The sequence below is a fragment of the Homo sapiens genome, chromosome 3, assembly GCF_000001405.40.
Source record: "Homo sapiens chromosome 3, GRCh38.p14 Primary Assembly".
NCBI classification, from domain to species: Eukaryota; Metazoa; Chordata; class Mammalia; order Primates; family Hominidae; genus Homo; species Homo sapiens.
Window position 1 is genome coordinate 42556342 of NC_000003.12, and position 20516 is coordinate 42576857.

The window sequence follows — 20516 nt, forward strand, 5'->3', positions numbered from 1 at the left end:
CATACACTGTTTTGGGCCATGAGAGCCCCCAAGGCAGGGACTATGTCTTAACCATCTTGCTGGCCAGGTACTAATTCTAATGTATACAAACAAACAGACAGTTGGTAAGTATCTGGCTAAGAGCAATCATAAACAATAAGAGTAGAAACCACAACACACATTGATCAAAGACAGGATGTGGTAACAGGCAGTTACCACTCATAACACAGGCCTGCTGCCATTCTCCAAACAGGTCAGTCTACATCAGTCTCCTGAGGTTCAACAACAGTCATGCTTCAGACTTTACCCACTATATGCATGGGTGTGAGTATGGTGGCACTATCTTTAAAAGTAATATCTATTTGTTGATGCTAATAATGGTTTTATACCTCCTCTTTTTTGTTTTTGTTTTCTTTTTTTGAGACGGAGTTTTGCTTTTGTCGCCCAGGCTAGAGTGCAGTGGCGCAATTTTGGCTCACTGCAACCCCTGCCTCCCAGTTTCAAGCGACTCTCCCACCTCAGCCTCCTGAGTAGCTGGGATTACAGGCATGCGCCACCACGCCCAGCTAATTTTGTATTTTTAGTAGAGATGGGTTTTCACCATGTTGATCAGGCTGGTCTCAAACTCCTGACCTCATGTGATCCACCCACCTCAACCTCCCAGAAGTGCTGGAATTACAGGAGTGAGTCACCACACCCGGCCGATACCTTCTTGAAATACTTCTCAAAATACTTCAAAATTTTAAAACTGTTTTTAAAAAGCACTGAAATAGTAAGTTCCTTTGAAATGAGCAGACCAGTGAAGGAACTTCCTAGTGACATATAATTCTTCGACAAAGACACAAGGAAGGTGGCATCTGCATTATACAAATCAGATTATGGGACAACCTTTTCTCAGGAGAAAAAGAACCTGAACCTTAAAATCAGAGAATGAACCTTTTGTCCTGGGTAAATAATCCAGTCCCTGGAGTGACTCCTGGGGTCCCAAGAGCCACAGGGTGGTCTAATGTCCTTGTAGCAAATTCTCCATTTCTTACCAATATCTTGGCAGGCCCCTCCTGCTTCTTAGGACAATAGACATAAAAGAGCAACCTTCATATTCATTCACTTACTACAAAGAATAAAATTTATAATAAAATTCATATTAGTTTTGAAAAATTATAAAACCTCAGTTTTATAGATAAAATGTATCCCTATCACTTTCTTCTATCATATGTCCTTCAATTTAAACTGTTTTAAAAAAAAAAAAAAGGTTACCTGTAAAGAATGTTCTGCAAGGTGAACTCCTCGAATGAGATTCAGGGCAGCACACATGATGTTGAGAATGAGGGAGAGGATACCCAGGGCTGTCACTGGTTCCATTCGGAAATTAGGAGCTTCACAATGGAAAAAAAACAAGTGTCTAGTGTAAGTAATTTCTACATGAAAGAAAAATAAACGAAGACATTAACTAGACCTACACTAATGATAGGTTCACTATGTTAAACATAGAATTACAAACATATTAATTGTAAAAGCAGCAGAAGTTAGAGGGAAAAAAGCCAAGAAATGATGGACAGAATGGATGTGGGTATTTGAGTAAAGTTTCTTCCAGAAAAAGGCTCTTTTCCAGGCAAGCACAGGTTTTTCAAGTGCTTAATTTCCTTTCTATCTAAAGCAGTGGTTCTCAACCAGGGGCAATCTGCCCCCCAGTGGATATTTGGCCATGTCTGGAGTCATTTCTGGTTGTCACAACTAGAGACAGGCTGCTACTGGCATCTAGTGGATAGAGGCCAGGAATGCTTCTAAACATCCTACAATGAATGCACAGGACAGCCTCCAAAATAAAGAATTATCTGATGCAAAAATGTCAATAGGGATCAGGCTGAAAAATCCTAAAACAATTTTTGGCACACACCTGTAATGCCAGCACTCTGGGAGGCTGAGGCAGGCAGCAGATCACGTCAGCCCAGGAGTTCAAAACCAGCCTGGGCAACATAGTGAGACCCTGTCTCTACAAAAAAAAAAAATACAAAAACTTATCCAGGCATGGTGACGCATACCTGTAGTCCCAGCTACCTGGGAGGCTGAGGTGGGAGGATCACCTGAGCCTGGGAGGTTGAGGCTGCAGTGAGCCATGATTGCGCCCCTGCACTCAAGCCTAGGCAACATAGCGACCTTGTCTCAAAAAAAAAAAAAAAAAAAGTTCAGGCACAGTAGCTCATGCCTGTAATCCCAGCACTTTGGGAGGCTAAGGTGAGAGGATCACTTGAACTCAGGAGTTCAAGACCAGCCTGGGCAACATGGTGAAACCCCATCTCTATTAAAAAAAAAATACAAAAATTAGCCAGGTGTGGTGGTATGTGCCTGTAGTCCCCGCTACTCAGGAAGCTAAGGTGGGAGGATAGCTTGAGCCCTGGAGGTGGAGGTTGCAGTAAGCCAAGATTGCACCATGGTACTTCAGCCTGGGCGACAGAGCAAGAACCTGTCTCAAAAAAAAATTAAATAAGTAAGTAAATAAAACAGTTTCTTATACTACCAGAGAGGACCAAGGCTTTATTTGTAATTGGTTGTCAAATGTTTAAAGCATTTCTATTATATGCCTCAACATTCAACTTGTCCTCTTTCTCTGACAATAACAATATGCGATGTCACGTGCACTTCTAGAGCAATTCACAGCAAATGCAATTTTTAAAATTCTAAAATAATTGGAAAGAGGGAAACATTGATTATTCAGGTTACAAGCTGTTTCTAGAACTATAATTAGAACAAATGCTCATTTTCTCTGTAAAGATAACCACTGAAATTGATTTTGGTTCACACAATTAAATGGTGTCCCTCCCATTCTCTCGCTATACTCCTTTCTTACACTTATATTTCACACACACACAAATACCTCGCCACAATCCAACTTATGCCTATTGTTAGTGTGTTAGAGTTTCCACTGAGCAATTAAAAGTTACTGTTAGAACAGAATATGCTACCTGTAAAGATTCTAGCCTCAGGACAATAGGGTAAATCAAATCACAGTAAAATGTCCTAGAAAGACGGGCAAGGTGACACTTTCTGGATTTGCTCCTCTTGTCTAAGTGTTTAAAAAACAAAACATACATTACAAAGATATGCCTGCATTCATATATGGTAAGGGAAAATCTTGGAGCTCAATTACCCAGTCTTCCTTTTACAAAAATTAAGTTTATTCTCAACATAAACTAGAAACACTTATTGACTGGAATGAGAGCCAATCCAAGTATTGGTTGAAACACATTAAACTAAAACACAAAGTTAAGTCAAAACCATGAATATAATACATCACTTTTAAAATTCAAGAAATGAGTTTAGCATAAAACAGTTAAAAACAAAGTAATTAAGACTATTATAGTGTAGACACTTCTTTTAGCAAAGGATTCAGCTCTTATGCCATTATAGAATTCTTCGAATATAAATATCCAATTGAATTAAATATTAGTTTAATTGTATGTAACTATAAACAGGAATGCAAAAAATCATACTTTGTTATGTGATAAGCATTGAGTGGCTAATAACATTAATGACAAAGGCATGGAATATCAGCACACTGTGATCACGTTCATTAAGACCTCTTCCTTCACATGAGGTCTCTGAAATCCACAGGGATAGAGGGAGATCCCAGGTCTCAGAGACAGCCAGACAGTGAGAACGTTAGAAGCCCTGGCTCCAGCCCCCTGTCCAACGCTCTCATCCCCACTGTCCTCCCTCCAACAAGAAGAGTGGGGGTTTCAGATCTACAACATTTCAGTAAATAAGATGATAAGGATTCTCTCTCTCTCTCTCTCTCTCTCTATATATATATATATATAAATAATAATTGTTTTATATATATTATATATATTTTATATATAATATATATATTATATATATAATATATATAATACCAATCTATACAGTTCAATAAGTAACTTATAGAAAAAGAGAATGAATCTTCTTTATAACATTTAAACTTGTAGTTCTGTCAGAACAACTTGGACTTAAATAAATAAATAAATAAAAACATAAAATTTAAAAATAATAAACTTGTAGACTTCACCCTAATTAAGAAAATAACCTGCCAGCTAAGCGTGGTAGCTCACACCTGTAATCCCAGCACTCTGAAAGGCCGAGGCAGGAGGATGATGGCTTGAGCCCAGGAGTTCGAGACCAGCCTGGGCTGTAACATGGTGAAACCTTGTCTCTATTTGAAAAAAAAAAAAAGAAGAAGAAGAAGGAAAAGAAAAACAAAAGTAACCTGCCAAGTCACTCTTCGGCTCCTGAATTTCATCACAATAGTTTCCCCTCAAACCAATCCACTGTCATAATAGTCAATTTTTTTCTTTTTTGAGACAGGGTCTCATTCTGTCACCCAGGCTAGAGTGCAGTGGCTCACAATCATGGCTCGCTGCAGCCTCGACTTCCCGGGCTCAGGTGATTCCCCTACTTCAGTCTCTGCAGTAGCTGAGACTACAGGCACGAGCCACCACCTCTGGCTAATTTTTTGTATTTTTGATAGAGATGGGGTTTTGCCATGTTGCCCAGGCTGGTTTCAAACTCCTGGACTCAAGTGATCCGCCTGACTTGGCCTCCCAAAGTGCTGAGATTACAGGCATGAGCCTCCACGCCTGGCCTGTAGTCAAAGTTTTTATAACAGCCACCAAGAAACAGGATGGGCCCATATTTTTCTCAGCATATTTTATACTACTCCCTCTCCCCAAAAAATAGCTTTCTAGTGAAAAAAAAAATCAACGTCCATTTGAAATACACAATATCACTTCATCAACATCAGGGAACAACAAGCCACTTACCAGGCTCCAAGTGCATCGGTGTGTGACCATTCATCACCCCATTTGCCACATCTGTGTCCTCCAGAGTGAGAACCGCTGGAGGCTGCAACTTGAGCTCCTCCTGAATTTTTTCCAAGCTGCACTCCATCTGAGAGGAACTTACATAGTTAAAATGCCACTTCACTTTCTGAATGATGCTGTCTGCAAAAAGAGAGCAACACAAGTTAAGCATTTTCATCAGAATGGATATTATAAGACAATACGTACAAAATGAAGTTCACATTTCTTTTTTTTGAAGATAGGGTCTCACTGTCGCCCACTCTGGAGTGCAGTGCAGTGGTGCGATCACAACTCACTGCAGCCTTGACCTCCCAGGCTCAAGTGATTCTCCCACCTAAGCCTCCCAAGTAGCTGAGACCACAGATGTGTGCCACCACACCTGGCTAATTTTTTTCATTTTTAAATTGTTTTTCTGTAGAGACAAGGTCTCACTGTATTGCCCAGGCTGGTCTCAAACTCCTGAGCTCAAGGGATTCTCCTGCCTCAGCCTCCCAGAGTGCTGGGATAATAGGCGTGAACCATTGCACCCAGCTGAAGTTCACATTTCTAAGAGCTAATAAATCAGCCAGATTCTGAAAAGCGTCAAGTTAAACACAAAGGCCAAATGATTGCTAATATGAACACTGTCTGATCAATCACTTCAGAGCAGGATAATTAAAATGTGATTGACTAAAAAGGCAATAATGCATCACAGAACCTCAGTGATGAGAGAGTCGGGGGAAAGGGGCATGCGTCTTAGCCCCTTACCACTTCTGATAGTACGGTACAACCCTAGGCAATTTACAGAATATTTCTAAGCTTGAAAAATGGAGACAGTTATTCCTGACCTGATTAACTCAAAAAAAAAGGGCTTGTTTGAAAAAAAAATACAAATGAATACGTTGTGGAAACTAGGATTATATATTTGAAAAGTATTCATTTTAATTCTTAAATTTATGTTAGTATAAATCCATTATCACATCTGAACAGTTCTTGAAGTTTCATACAAACTGGCAAAGCAAAATCTGTATAATTCTACTCTCAGTGTACTTTGACTCATTCTACTCCCACTCAACAATGAGCAAACATGATGCTGGAAAAGGGGCTCCCATCAGATCAAGCACATGGCTTTAGAAGGAAGGCACATGCAGAGATAAGGGGAGAGAAGAACACAGGTCTACCGAGCTCCAAATCAACTCACAGCCCAGGGATGCTGCAGCTGTGGTCTGTTTTAGACTAGCAGCCCTCTTCAGAGAAAGAAGTGTGGCCCAGAGCACAAGCTTGACTAAGACCTCACAGGGAGACTCAGGGGCAGAACTTTACCAGGCTGGAGCCTGCCTACCAGGGTGACACCAAAAGAGGGTGCTAGCCCCATTCCTGATGGGCTAGCCAGTAGAACACATGAAGGAATGTGAGGGCTATGGCAGGAGTAGCCAGAAAGCCTAAGTGGCAACACTTCCAGGTGCTGGTTCTGCCCCCTGACCATTTATAACAAATGCTGCCAAACCTTTGTTTAAGAACATCACAGAGTCAGCAGCTGTTTACACGGAGAGCACAGACTGTCCCCCAACTGCCATCTCCATTCCTCTTCTCCCAAGAGCTCAAAATGACCCACACCTGACCAAAATAGGGCACACACTGATTATTATGCTGTGTTCCAAAGTCTCTAAGCCTCAACAAGGCCTTTCTGGCAGAGCCTAGAAAAGAAGTATCATTTTTCCAGAGCAAACTTCTGGGTCAAGGAACTGTTTTTTTCTTACTTCCAAACCACCGCAGACTGATATTTTGCTTTAAAAAAAGCAATAAAAAATAATCACAGGAATGTCAAATTACTGTAAGAATTTCTAAACACCAGTTCTCACTTTCTGTGCTTACCTCCTGATGGTAAACACCCTTTGAGCAGTAATGCTCTGGGGCAGGGGTCAACAAAAGTTTCTTACAATGCCAGTTAGTAAATATTTTAGGTTGGTGGCTACATGGTCTCTGTCACAACTCAACTCTGCTGTCGTGGGGCAAAAGCAGCCACAGACAACATGTAAAAGAATAAGCATAGCCACGTTCTGCTTTATTTATAAAACAGGCGGCTGGCCTATGGGCCATCATTTGCTGACCCCAGCTTCAGAGAGCTGTGGGTTATAACCTACACGTTTCACCCTTCCTCCACCCTGCCCCCAGGCTCTGTGGAGATGAAAAGCCAGAGTGTTAAACCTTGACGCTTTCCGGGACACTTCAATTGATATGAAATCTCATGGTACAAGTCTGTTCTTCAATGACATGTTTTTGCATCTCCAGTGGTTTTCCTTGATGGTCAAAGCCAAACCTAAACTGTAAATTCTACACATATAACACCATGGAAGAGAAAAATAAATATGAAAGAGGGTTACAAACCAAACTCAAGAAAAGCGTATGGCCTGGAGGCTAGGCCAATGCAGGTAGTGTCATAGGAAGCTGTGAATTCCCACCACAGGGTCTCCAGGAAGCAGAAGGCCATGGCTGCTGGACACTGGCAGGAGCAGATAGCCATGCAGGCCACGTCCCCGAAAGAAGAAAAACTGAAACAAAAGGGCAATATCTGTATTACCAGGAAACAGCCCCATGTATTCCCATCCCACACCCAGACACAACCTTACCTGAATTCTGCACTTGCTTGGCTTTAAACAGTCCTGTAGCTGTTTGCTGCAGGTATATTGTCTCTTCAGTTCGACCTATTCCTGAGACTGTCTTTCTTCCGCTTCCTTTAAAATGTCTAGTAGTCTTAATCAATGACAGCCTGTGATCACTCTTATTTATTCATGCATGAGGGATGCATATTCTATTGGGGGAATTAGCCTCAGACTTCTCCACATCTATTGAGAAAACGTTTTTCTTCTTTAATCTACATCAACAGATTTCCTAATGTTAAATGATCCTGGCATCCTAAAATAAGCCCTTGTTGGATCTAAGTTCCTACATATTCATAAACATACAACTGCTGGATTTAGTTTGCTAACATTTTAATTGGGACTTTTGTGTCTATGCAAATAAGACTGGCCTATAATTTTCCTTTCTTATACTGTCTTCATCTGATTGTGGTATTTAGGTTATTTTGGTCTCATAAAATAAATACAGGGCTTTTCTTCTTTTTCTACTCCCTTTTGGGCTGTCATGCAATCATTTCAAGTTCAGGGTACAGGGGTTCTAGGTCACCTATCTGTGTGTCTACTGACTCCCACTCACTGTGGAATGTCTCCTCTTGTGTTTTGTCCTTTTTGCTGAGAACTCATCCCTATGGGACTTTTTTTTGTAAGAATCCCCTGAAGCCCAAGTTGTGGCACACTTCTTCCAGTGTGGTTCTGCATTTGCTCTGGCTGGCTACCATAGCAGTGTCATCACTCTGGGACCAATACTGATGTTTCAACCTTGGCTTAGGAATTCCTAGACTTTGGGGAGTATACACTCCAACTTCAACCTTTTACGAGGCGCAAGAACAACATTTCAATTTCTTAGGTGAAATTTATTTTTCCTTCCCACACAAAGCCAAGTAGAGGTGAGTTACCCTGTATCAATGGGAAAATTATTTCCCTCACCTATCACCATTCCATTAGGTTGTGGCCTGACAAGAACTTTCCTTTATGCAAGAGTGTTTTGTTTTGTTTTGTTTTGACACAGGGTCTCACTCTGTCATCCATGCTAGAGTGCAATGGCACAATCTCAGCTCACTGCAGCCTCAACCTCCCAGGCTCAAGCCATCCTCCCACCTCAGCCTCCCGAGTAGCTGGGACTACAGGCGTGTGCCACCACACCTGGCTAATTTTCGTGTTTTTGTAGAGATGGGGGTCTCTCTATGTTGCCCAGGCTGGTCTCGAACCACTGGGCTCAAGCAATCTGCCTGCCTCAACCTCCCAAAGTGCTGGGATTACAGGCGTGAACCACTGCACCCAGCCACAAGGGTCTTGTTCTGACACTCCATCCTATGTAAGCCCAAACCAAGCTCCAATTTTATGGTGACTGAATGCCAGGAGCCTCACTGTCCGCTCACACACTTACTACCTTAATATTCTGCCCCCCTTTCATTTCTAGCATCTTAGGATTTCTTTCTTTCAAGATTAACTACACATTTAAAGTAATTGTCGATATATATTTACCCTCATTTCTGGATGTTTTCAGCAGGACGGTTTTTAGGTTATGTTGTTCTACCAACTTTTTGAAACTGTAACTCCCTATATAAAAACTTTTCCAATCTAAAAAAAAGGACAACTCTCCTCCTTATGGAAGAAATCCTTCAGAAGGGTCTAGGCCACTCTAGGATGGAGGTGTTTCTATTTGAAAGAGGACCCCTGGTGTGGGTTGAGTTTGTCCCCCCAAAAAGATTTACTGATGTCCTAACTCAAAGAAACAGAGTCTTTGAAGATGTAACCAAGATAAAATGAAGTCATACTGGATTAGGGTGGGCCCTCATCTAATGATCAGTATCCTTATATGAAAGGAAATTTGGACACAGAGACAGAAGGAAGAAGACCATGCAACCATGGAGACAGAGCCTGCAGTAACGCATCTACAAGCCAAGGAAAACCAAGGATTGCCAATGACTGCCAGAAAGTAGCAGAGGTTTAGGAAGGATTCTTCCTTAAAGTTTGTAGAGGGAACATGGCCCTGCGATACCTGTGAGAGAACGAATTCTGTTGTTTGAAGCCAGTTTGTGGTCATTTGTTATGGCAGCCTTAGGGAACTAACACACTCCTTACTATTAAAAGCTATGGTACTGCTCACCTGTAAGAAAAGAAAGTCTATTTCCTCTGCGAAAATAATGGTAAATATTTAATTCAAAATTACAAATGAGTAGAACATTTTTTATTCCTTTTTCCAAAATACTACTGAAGTATCCAGGATTTAAATCTGAAGTCTTAGACTTCTTTTTTCTGTGAAAAATAGCCTTTAACAGAGAAAAGCTTTCCTATTTGAAGTACAAATCAGTTAATCACAGCATAGTAAAGGAGAGACCATCAAGGACAGCATGTTCAGCATGTCCAGAGAAAGGGGCTGCACATGTGGGCAGGTGCAACTCAGTGTTTGCTCCTAAACATCCAGAGCCCACATCACCAGGTGACAGCTGCATGTGCCTATTATTTGTCACCCCCTTCAGGACATGGCCCTTCTAGCCTGACATTACCACCTAGCCTGGGGTCAGGCCTGGACTTTTCCTTTTGTTTTTATAATTCTGAGACTGAATTCCCCTAAAAGGACCTCAGCTTAGCAGGTCAACTAAAAATTTACTATTCAAGGCCGGGTGCGGTGGCTCACGCCTGTAATCCCAGCACTTTGGGAGGCCGAGGCAGGAGAATCACGAGGTTAGGAGCTCGAGACCATCCTGGCTAACACGGTGAAACGCCGTCTCTACTAAAAATACAAAAAAAAATTAGCCAGGCGTGGTGGTGGGCACCTGTAGTCCCAGCTACTCGGGAGGCTGAGGCAGAAGAATGGTGTGAACCCAAGAGGCAGAGCTTGCAGTGAGCCGAGATCGTGCCACTGCACTCCAGCCTGGGCGACAGAGCGAGACTCCGTCTCAAAAAAAAAAAAAAAAATTTACTATTCAAGGAGAACAAAAGGGTGCAAGGCAAGGTGGCTCATACCTATAATCCCAGGGCTTTGGAAGGCCAAGGCGGGAGGATCACTTGAGCCTAGGAGTTTAAGACCAGCCTGGGCAACATGGCAAGACCTTGTCTCTAAAAAATAAAAATAAATTAGCTGGGTATAGTGGTGTGTAGACTCAGCTACTTGGGAGGCTATCTATCAATCAATCAATCTATCCAATCTACCTATCTATCTGGAGACAGAGTTCCAGCTACTTTGGAGGCTGAGGTGTGAACATGGCTCACTGTGGCCTCGACCTCCTGGGCTTGAGCAATCCTCCCACCTCAGCCTCCCAAGTAGCTGGTACAGGTGCACCCTACCACACTTGGGTAATTTTTAATTTTTTTGTAGAGATGGGGTCTTATCATATTGCCCAGGCTGGTCTTGAACTTCGCGATCTTCCCGCCTCAGCCTCCCAAAGTGCTGGGATTACAGGCGTGAGCCACTGCACCCAGCTAAGACCCTGTCTCTAAAAAATAAAATAAAAAATAAAAATATAAGGAGAGCAAAAGAGACTTGCTAAGTAAAGGTCTAAAACGAGAAAATAGACGTAAAATCTAACAAGTCATTTTGATATTCTAAAATCTGCCTTGCCCCTGATGCCTCCATAGAATGACTGGCTTCTTGCTCTGAGTCCTAGAACAGGAAATTGTATAACCCATAAGAAGCAGACTTTGGTGCCTAACTGCCTGCATTCAAATCCTGGGCTGACCCATTACTAACAGTGTAAACTTAGTTAAGTTTTTTTTACCTCAGTTTCCTCCTCTGCAAAACAGGTGTAACACTATTACCTACATCATTAGCCACATAAAACACAGAATAGTGCCTGGCATATAGAAAACACTCAATAATATCAGTTATTGTAACCAGGATTATTGTAATCACTTGATTCCTACTTCCAATGGAACATTTTCCCCACTGTATTATAGTTAGTTATATATTTCTCTTGTTACCTTGTTAGACTTTAAGTTCCTTGAGAAAAGAGACCTACTCTCACTTATTTTTCACTCCCCTGCTCCTGTCACATAATAAAAATTTAAAAATGACCAGGCGCAGTGGCTCACGCCTGTAATCCCAGCACTTTGGGAGGCCAAGGTGGGCAGATCACCTGAGGTCAGGAGCTCAAGAGCAGCCTGGCCAACATGGTGAAACCCCGTCTCTACTAAAAAATTCAAAAATTAGCCGGGCGTGGTGGTAGGTGCCTATAATCCCAGCTGCTCAGGAGGCTGAAGCAGAAGAATCACTTGAACCCAGGAGGCAGAGGTTGCAGTGTGCAGAGAGTTTGCCACTGCACTCCAGCCTGGGCCACAAGGGCAAAACTGTGTCAAAAAAATAAATAAATAAAAATTAAAAAGTGAAAAATTAAAACATAAAAAAGTGAAAAAATTAAAAAGCAAAGGTATAAATAAAGTAAAAATGAAATTTTTTTCTTATTTCTTGGCTTTCTAACTCTCATTATTTTCCCTCCCCACATTATAATCTAGTATCTCCTCCCTCCTTACCTTTTCTCTTCCCCTGCATCTGAGTGAAGAAAAAACTACAAAACTAAAGACATGAACCCAGGTCTCCCAATGCTCATGGGCACTCCACTAACAGAAGTTAAGAGGTGGAGCAGCCACGGCTGGGTGCAGTGGCTCACACTTGTAATCCCAGTACTCTGACAGGTCGAGGCAGGTGGATCACCTGAGATCTGGAATTCGAGACCAGCCTGGGCAACATGGTGAAACCCCATCTCTACTAAAAATATAAAAATTAGCTGGGCATCGTGGCATGTGCCTATGATCCCAGCTACTCAGGAGGCTGAGGCACGAGAACTGCTTGAACCCAGGAGGCGGAGGTTGCAGTGAGCCAAGATGGTGCCACTGCACTCCAGCCTGGGTGACAGAGCAAAACTCTGCCTCAAAAGAAAAAAAAAAAAAAAAAAGTTGGAGCAGCCATTCCTGAGGCTCTAAGAAAACCCATTTCTTTTATGATTCTGTTGTAGACACACATGATCTCAGACCACTGATGCTAGATCTACTTTTAATACACAATGTGATCAGCATAAGATTATCACTACATGTAGTTAAAAGTAATCCAAATTTTGCTAATATTCTGAAAAAGTGAATATGATCACTTACTGTATACTAAAGTCACAACCTTCTGCAGAACCTCGACCTGGATACTGGGCCAGTCGCAAGGCTAAACTCTTGAGCCGTCTCCTCCATTCCAAAAAATCTTGGGTGTGGTAAAAATCAGTAGAGGCTGAGAGGGGCAGTCCATCCCTTACCCGTACCACGCAGGCAAAAAAGATCACGGACATGGTCCACAAGAGAAGTCATGAGGACACCTGAGGAAAGCAAGGTCACCTTGTTACTGAGGCTCAAATGACAGTGCCAGAAATACCCCCACCTGTGAAATGCCCACTCTAGGGTTTTTCACCCTCATTCTTACTATAATTGCAAATGTTGCTTTTATTGTTATTTCCCTGGCCTCTACTGCTATATCACTCCCAACTTTCCTCCCTTCATTATCCTCCCTGCCTTTTCTGCAGTTGTAATTCTCTTTTTCTTTTTCTCTAATGAGTCTCTCCCTTTCCAGAATTAAGCCAACTGGGATGATGGGGAAAGGAATAGAGAAGAACGGACGCAGGACCAGAGGGCTCAGGACCAACAGTAGTAATGGCAGGTAGCAGGACACAGAGCAAGACAGCCCTAAAGAGACAGGAAGCACCAGACACTGAAGCAGCGAGGATTGATGTCAGTGACCTGTGAACTTCAGGTCACCCATGGAGATAGGCACTAAGCAGTTTAGCTGCCATATCCTCACTTGCAAGGAGATAGAAGAAGGTGGAGAGATTCTGAGCATCTAACCTAATGCTGGTGACAAGGAAAGCAGAAGGCAAAAATGAAACCTCTAGATCATGTCCTTCTGAATTTCTGCAAATGTTTGATACAGAGTCAGTCTTCAAAGTGATGACTGAATCCCTACATATGGCTAAAGGCAATCATTTAGCAAATCATATTACAGTGATATGTGAATACCATTAAGAAACAGAAAGAAACAGATCTGAACCCTCGTGGTGCCTTGGGCAGATTAGGAAAGGATGCCTCTCTTGGTGGAAACAGGCCTGCACCATTTCTGCTAGCAGAGCCTGGCTGTGTTTTAGCCCTATCTGTTAACACTGCAGGGTGCTTGTTCAGGGCATAACCTGTACATCTGTGAGTGGCAGCCCTGCAATTAGGGATTAGTGAGGTGGCTATTACAGCTCAGATAAGTCTTTCCAATAGGATGTGTCCACACATCGTATTTCACAAATCCTCTACTTGACAGGATCCTCTACTATCAGGCCCTTTACTTGATAGGATGATAACAGGATACCAGTGGACCTCTCTTCCAAAGAACTCTAGGGATGCAACCTTATTTGGCATCTCAGTTCTTCATCTCAGAACCCCAAGATGCACACTACTCTTCATCTCTGTACCTCTATGCATTCTTCACTTGTGTCTGCAATGCCACTCCTTTCATCTCTCCATATCCAAATGCAAATCAAAGACTGTCTCAAATCCACCTTCTCAGACTTGTCCAGCTAGAAGTACTTTCTCCCTCTTTTAAATTCTTAGGAAACCTACCTCTTTGTTCTCTATTTTACTGATTTTGCATTTCCACTACCAAAATATAAGTTCTAAGAATAAAGACCATGTCTGGAATGGATGAATGAATGAATAATTATTACCACAATATACATGTAGAAACTGCAGTGATATAAAAACACAAAGGAGGCAAAAAGAAAAATTAGGCTACCAGCCAACAGATCCTACACAGTCCATTTGACCCATTTCTCCACACCTTCCATTGGGGAGTAAAAATGTGAAAAGCCCCAGGACCCACACATAAAAGCTACTAAGTTTGCAGCACCAACGGCAGGACCAGGTCAACTGCCAGAAGACACTGTGGGTTTTACAGCAGACGCCTAGCCAATGATGAGACCTCAAGGCACCACAAAAGGAATCAGGGGATTCCTTTTGTTCTATCTTCTATACTTTCGTAAGTATTTGAAATATTTAATTTTAAAACATTTTTTAAAAAGAGTTATAGGGCACAAAGCCCTGACAGACATAGGGAAAGGCTACAAGATCAATTTGAGACCAGGGCTTAGGCTCTCAACAATAACTCCAAAAAGAACCATAAGCCAAGATATGAAGACATTGAGGCCAAAAAGAGACAGTCAATGAGATACCAAAACAGTTAGAGACAGGACAGAAACACCCCAAAGCAAAATAAGAAAGGTACTTTTTTGGGAGCTGAGTAAATTGTATGCCCCTCTAAAGGAAAGCAGTGTGCACTGACTCCAACTGTCAATTCCAAACATCCTCTGTAGTTCTGTCTTTATGGAGCATCTACCTTATGCCAGGTATTATCTTAAGCCAATAAAAAAGAAAAGGGTGACATTTCCAAGCGATGGTAATCAGAAGAACTAGTTTTACCACTCTCTAAAGGACCCAAATGACCCCTCCAGGTTCTCTACTTCTCCATCCTATCCTTTGGTGATCAAACTTGCTTTTCCTCAAATATTAGTATTCAAGATAAATAAATACCCCTCTTGTTTTTCAGTTCTATCAAGTTACTAGTACTGCAAACTAGTGAAACTCACATCTATTTTTTAAAAGTCTTTTTTAAATATTTGTGATGGTTTAATGAAGATGACACTGTGATACTAACTTGTTTGTGTGTATTTGTGAGTGTATGTGAATGTACAGGATGGCAGCTGCCTGAAGGGTTAAAAGATTTTATAGGCTGCCACGGAAGAGTATAAGAATGAAGACAACATCCTTGACATTATTTTCCTTTGTAAAAATATACTTTGTATTCTAAAAGATGGAAAAATAATAATACAAAAAGGAAGGGGCTTATCTTTACAGGGATTTGATATTTGTGAATTCAGGTTATGAGCTATTATGAGACAGCCTGTACTCAAATAAGAGATCTGACCACTGCTCAAAACAGAATGAACTTCTGCTTCTGGAAAGATGAAGTAGAAGTACTTTTCCCTACTTCTCCCTTGAAATACCCTGGACATTATATATAAAATAAACATTTAAAAATTCTGACCAGCCTGGCCAACATGGCGAAACCCCGTCTCTACTAAAAATACAAAAATTAGCCGGGCGTGGTGGCACACACCTGTAATCCCAGCTACTCAGGAGGCTGAGGCACGAGAATCGCTTGAATCCGGGAGGGAGAGGTTACAGTGAGCTGAGATTGTGTCACTGCACTCCAACCTAGGTGACAGAGTGAGACCCTGTCTCAAAAATAAAAATAAAAATTCTGAAAGGTGGAGAAGGAAGAAGACTGGCTAGGGACCTTGGGGTCTGAGGAATGACACAGCTGTGAGTCTGCTGAGTTTGTTTTTTCTTATTTGTTTGTTTGTTTGTCTCACATATCACAGACTGAGTGGTGGAGAAGCTAGCAAGAAATGCCAATGGGTACAGACCAAAAAAAAAAAAAAAGCCAAAAAAACTTTGTTCTCTCCAGTCAAAAAAACTAGAAAAGGTAATGCATAGCAAAACAAAAAACTTGCAGGTAAAAAACTGCTCTACTCCAGCCAAACATCACAAAAAAACTGTAGCTACCACACACCTGCCAACGAAGGCCAAGTGAAGAGCCTAGACTTCCACCACTGCCCTACAGTAATGAAGTGCCCCATTCTCCACCTCCCATCCTGCCGGGGTAGCATCAGAGAAGGCCAAGTAGGGGGCTAGAGGGCAGTAATGAGCCATTCTCTCCCACTGTGTCACTGGGTAGACAGAATTCCTATCTCTCCCAGGCAATGATGAGCAGCCCCTTTCCCCCAGGGTGTTAACAGAGGCCACGTAGGGAACCTGGACTTCTACTTCCATTGGGCAGTAATAAGACAGTCCCTTGCTTCCCCTGCTGGAGTGGTGTTCAGAAGGGCCAGCTAAAACAGAAGATTTTAGTAAGATTCAGATCTCAAAACATCCAAAATGTAAGTTTCAATAGAAAATCACTGGCTATACTAAGAACCAGAAAAACCTCAGCTTCAATGAGAAGAGACATTAATTGATGGCAACATCAAGATGACAGAGATATTAGAATTATCTAACAAAGAGTTTAAAACAGCCACCATAAAAATGCTTCAATGGTCAATTATAAACTGTTTCCCAGGCTAGAATACAGCAGTGCAATCATGGCTCACTGCAGCCTCGATCTCCAGGGCTCAAGCAATCCTTCCACCTTAGCATTCTGAATAGCTGGGAATACAGGCACACACCACTACTTTTTTTTTCTGTAGACACAGGGTCTCGCTATGTTGCTCAGGCTCATCTTGAACTCTCAGGCTCATGTGATCCTCCCACCTCGGCCTCTCAAAGTGGCGGGATTATAGGGGTGAGCCACCACACCCAGCCACTTTTAAAAAATGAAAAATAAAAACTCTCAGTAAAGAAACAGAAGATATAAAAACTAAATGGAGATTCTAGAATTAAAAATAAACCGAGGAGGCCAGGCACGATGGCTCATGCCTGTAATCCTGGCACTTTGGTAGGCCAAGGCAGGTGGGTCACTTGAGGTCAGGAGTTCGAGACAGCCTGGCCAACACAGTAAAACCTCGTCTCTATTAAAAATACAAAAATTAGCCGGGCATGGTGGCACACACCTGTAGTCTCAGATACTTGGGAGGCTGAGGCAGGAGAATCGCTTGAATCCGGGAGGCTGAGATGGCAGTGAGCCAAGATCACACCACTGCACTCCATCCTGGGCTACAGAGCGAGACTCCGTCAAAAACAAAAAAACAAAAAACAAAACTGAGGCCAGGTGCAGTGGCTTACATCTATAATCCTAATGCTTTGGGAGGCCAAGGCAAGAGGATCACCTGAGACCAGGAGTTTGAGACCAGCCTGGGCAACATAATGAGACCCCCATCTGTATGAAAATAAATAAAGTAATTAATTAACTAAAGTAAAAAATGCAATGGATGGACTCAATAGAAATATGGGGGGGAGGAGAAGAATGAATGAGTAAACATTAAGACAGAACATAGAAATTACTCAATCTGAACAATATGAGAGGAACTAGATTGAAAAATATTTCACAGAGACTTGGAGACCTGTGAGACTCTAAAAAATGACCAACTATTCATGTTACTTGAGTCCTGGAGGACAAAAGAAAGAAGACAGGGCTGAAAAAGTATTCAAAGAAATAATTTCTGAATATTTCCCAAACTGTGCAAAAGACATAAGCCCAGAGATTCAAAGAAACTGAACAAATCCCAGAAAGGATAAACCCAGAAACCCATGCCAGCACACAGACAGAAGCCCAACTTATGAAAACTAAAGACAAAGAAAAAATCTTGAAAGCAGCAAGAGAAAAATAATAACCTTACCTATAAGGGGAAAACAATTCAAATGACAGCAAATTTCTCATAGAAAACATGGAGGCCAAAAGGAAGTAGCACATTTTTCAAATACTAAAAGAAAAGAACTGCCAACCCAGAATCCTGTATTCAGCAAAAATATCCTTCAAGCAGCCAGGTGCAGTGGCATGTGTCTGTAGTCCCAGCTATACTGCTTGAGCCCCAGGAGTTCAAGTCCAGCCTAGGCAACATAGCAAGACCCTGTCTCAAAAAAAAAAAAAAAAAAAGGAATAAAAGAAAAATTAAAGCATACTTAGATGAAGGAACATTAAAGGAATTTGTCAAGAAGTTCTCTAAACAGAAAGGAAATGATAAAAGAAGAAATCCTGGAATATCAGGAAGAAAGAAAGAACAACAGAAAGGGTAAAAACTTTTAAAAATATGACAGATTATTCTCTCATGAGTTTTCTAAATTATGTTCGGTGAATGAAGCAATAATTATGTCTCATGTGGTTCTCAACATACGTAAAGGAACTATTTAAGACAATTATAAATGGGAGGGTTCAAAGACATAAAAGGAGGTAAAGTTTCTACATTTCATTTGAAATAGTAAAACACATCAGGAGACCACAACAAGTCATACACATACTCACACACAAACACATATACACCCCACTAAAAACTATACAAAGAGATATACTAAAAAACACTATAGATTATAAAATGAAATTATTATTTTTTGAGACAGGGTCTCACTCTGTCACCCAGTCTGGAACGCAGTGACACAATCATGGCTCACTGCTGCCTCAACCTCAAGTCATCCTTCTGCCTCAGCCTCAAGACTCAAGTGATCCTTCTGCCTCAGCCTCCCAAGTAGCTGGGACTACAGACATGTACCGTTATACCCAGCTAATTTTTTAAAAGATATATTTTGTACAGACAGGATCTTGCTATGTTGCCACAGCTGGTCTTGAATTCCTGGTCTCAAGCAATCCTCCCATCTCAGCTTCCCAAAGTACTGGGATTACAGGCATGAGCCACTAGGCCTGGCCTAAAATGTAATTATTTTAAAATGTTCAAATTACCCACAAGAAGTCAAGGAAAAGAAAACAGAGAAATAACAACAATGGCAACAACAAACAGAACAAACACAAAACAAAAAAGGGCAGACTTATTCCCTAATATATATCAATGATTACATTAAATGTAAATGGTCTAAATATGACAATTGCCAAAACAGAGACTGACAGTAGATAAAAGACATGACCCAATTATATACTATCTACATGAAATTCACTTCCAGTATAACAATATAGGTAGGTTGAAAGTAAATGGATGGAAAAAATATAGCATGCAAACATTAATCAAAAGAAGCAAGAGTTATATTATCATCAGATAGACTTCAGAGTGAAGAAAATGTCCAGGAACAAAGAAGGATATTACATAATGATAAAAGAATAAGTCCACTAAGAAGGCATAATAATCCTGAATGTGTTTGCACCAAACTTCAAAGATGTAAATAAGTGAAGCAAAAACTCATAAAGTGAAAGGAGGAACAGACAAATCCATAGTTATAGCTGGAGACTTCAATCAACTGCACCTCAAAAATTGATAAGACAAGTAAACAGAAATCAGCAAAGATTTACAAAAAGAACTAGAAAACACTATCAACTAAAGGATATAATCATGATTTATAATATTGCATCCAACAACAGAAGAATTCCTTTGAAGACCCCACAGAATAGGCTGGACACAATGGCTCATACCTGTAATCTCAGCCCTCTGGGAGGCCGAGGTGGGAGGATTGCTGAGGACAGGAGTTTAAGTCAAGAAACCACAGAATGTCTACCAAGATAGACCATATCCTGGACTATAAGACAAAACTCAATAAATTTAAAATAATTTATACAAAGTGTGTTATATGACCACAGTGTAATCAAATTATAAATTAATAACAGAAAGGTAAAGAAAACCTCCAAACACTTGAAAATTAAACACACACTTTAAAACAATCCGTAAGTTAAAAAGGAAATATAAAGGAAATTAAAAAAATACATTGAACTAGATGAAAATGAAAATATATCAAAATTTGTGTCACACAGCTAAAACAGTACCGAGAGGGAAATCCATAGCACTAAATGCTTACATTCCAAAAGAAGAAAAGTCTCAAAACAGTAATTTAAGCTCACAAGTCAAGAAATTAGAAGAAGAGCAAAATAAACTTAAATCACAAACATGGAAGGAAATAATAGGATAGAAATCAATGAAATGGAAAATTTTAAAAACAGAGAAAAATCAATGAAACAAAAAGTTGGTCCTTTGGACAGAGTGATACTTCATCTAAAAAAAATTACATTTCTATATACGAACAATGAACATATAGAAACCAAAATTTAAATACCATTTATAATCACTCTAAAAAATAATATCAATAAAGCTATAATTTTTTAAATAAAATACTTAGATATAAATCTAACAAAACATATACAGAACTTGTATGCTGAAAACTACAAAATATTCCTGAAATCAAAGTGCTAAATAAATGGGGAGATATATCATGTTTTATGGATTGGAAGAGTCAACAAAGCAAAGATGTCAATTCTCCCCCAAACTGATATACAGGTTTAATACAACTACTGAAAAAAAAAAATAAGCAAGCGAGTTTGTGGCTATAGATAAGATTATTCTAAAATGCGTATGAAAAGGCAAAGAAACTAAAATAGCTAAAGCAATTCTGAAAAAAGAATAAAATAGGAAAAACC

At 40.7% G+C, this 20516-nt stretch overlaps 1 protein-coding gene across 11 annotated transcripts in view; it reads right to left on the reverse strand.

The window, feature by feature from the left end:
- SEC22C (SEC22 homolog C, vesicle trafficking protein) overlaps positions 1-20516 on the reverse strand; it is a 53110-nt gene that overhangs the window by 8373 nt on the left and 24221 nt on the right. For 10 of the 11 annotated variants that reach the window (NM_001201572.2, XM_047449170.1, XM_047449168.1 and 7 more), the window contains exons 2-5: positions 12524-12732; positions 7182-7345; positions 4776-4955; positions 1237-1355 (exon numbers count right to left, since the gene is read on the reverse strand). In NM_001201572.2, the coding sequence (NP_001188501.1) occupies positions 1237-1355; positions 4776-4955; positions 7182-7345; positions 12524-12705 (645 nt within the window). In that variant the 5' untranslated portion in view covers positions 12706-12732. Of the gene's footprint in view, positions 1-1236; positions 1356-4775; positions 4956-7181; positions 7346-7423; positions 7548-12523; positions 12733-20516 lie in introns of those variants that run through there. The other variant, XM_047449171.1, reaches the window with a different exon arrangement.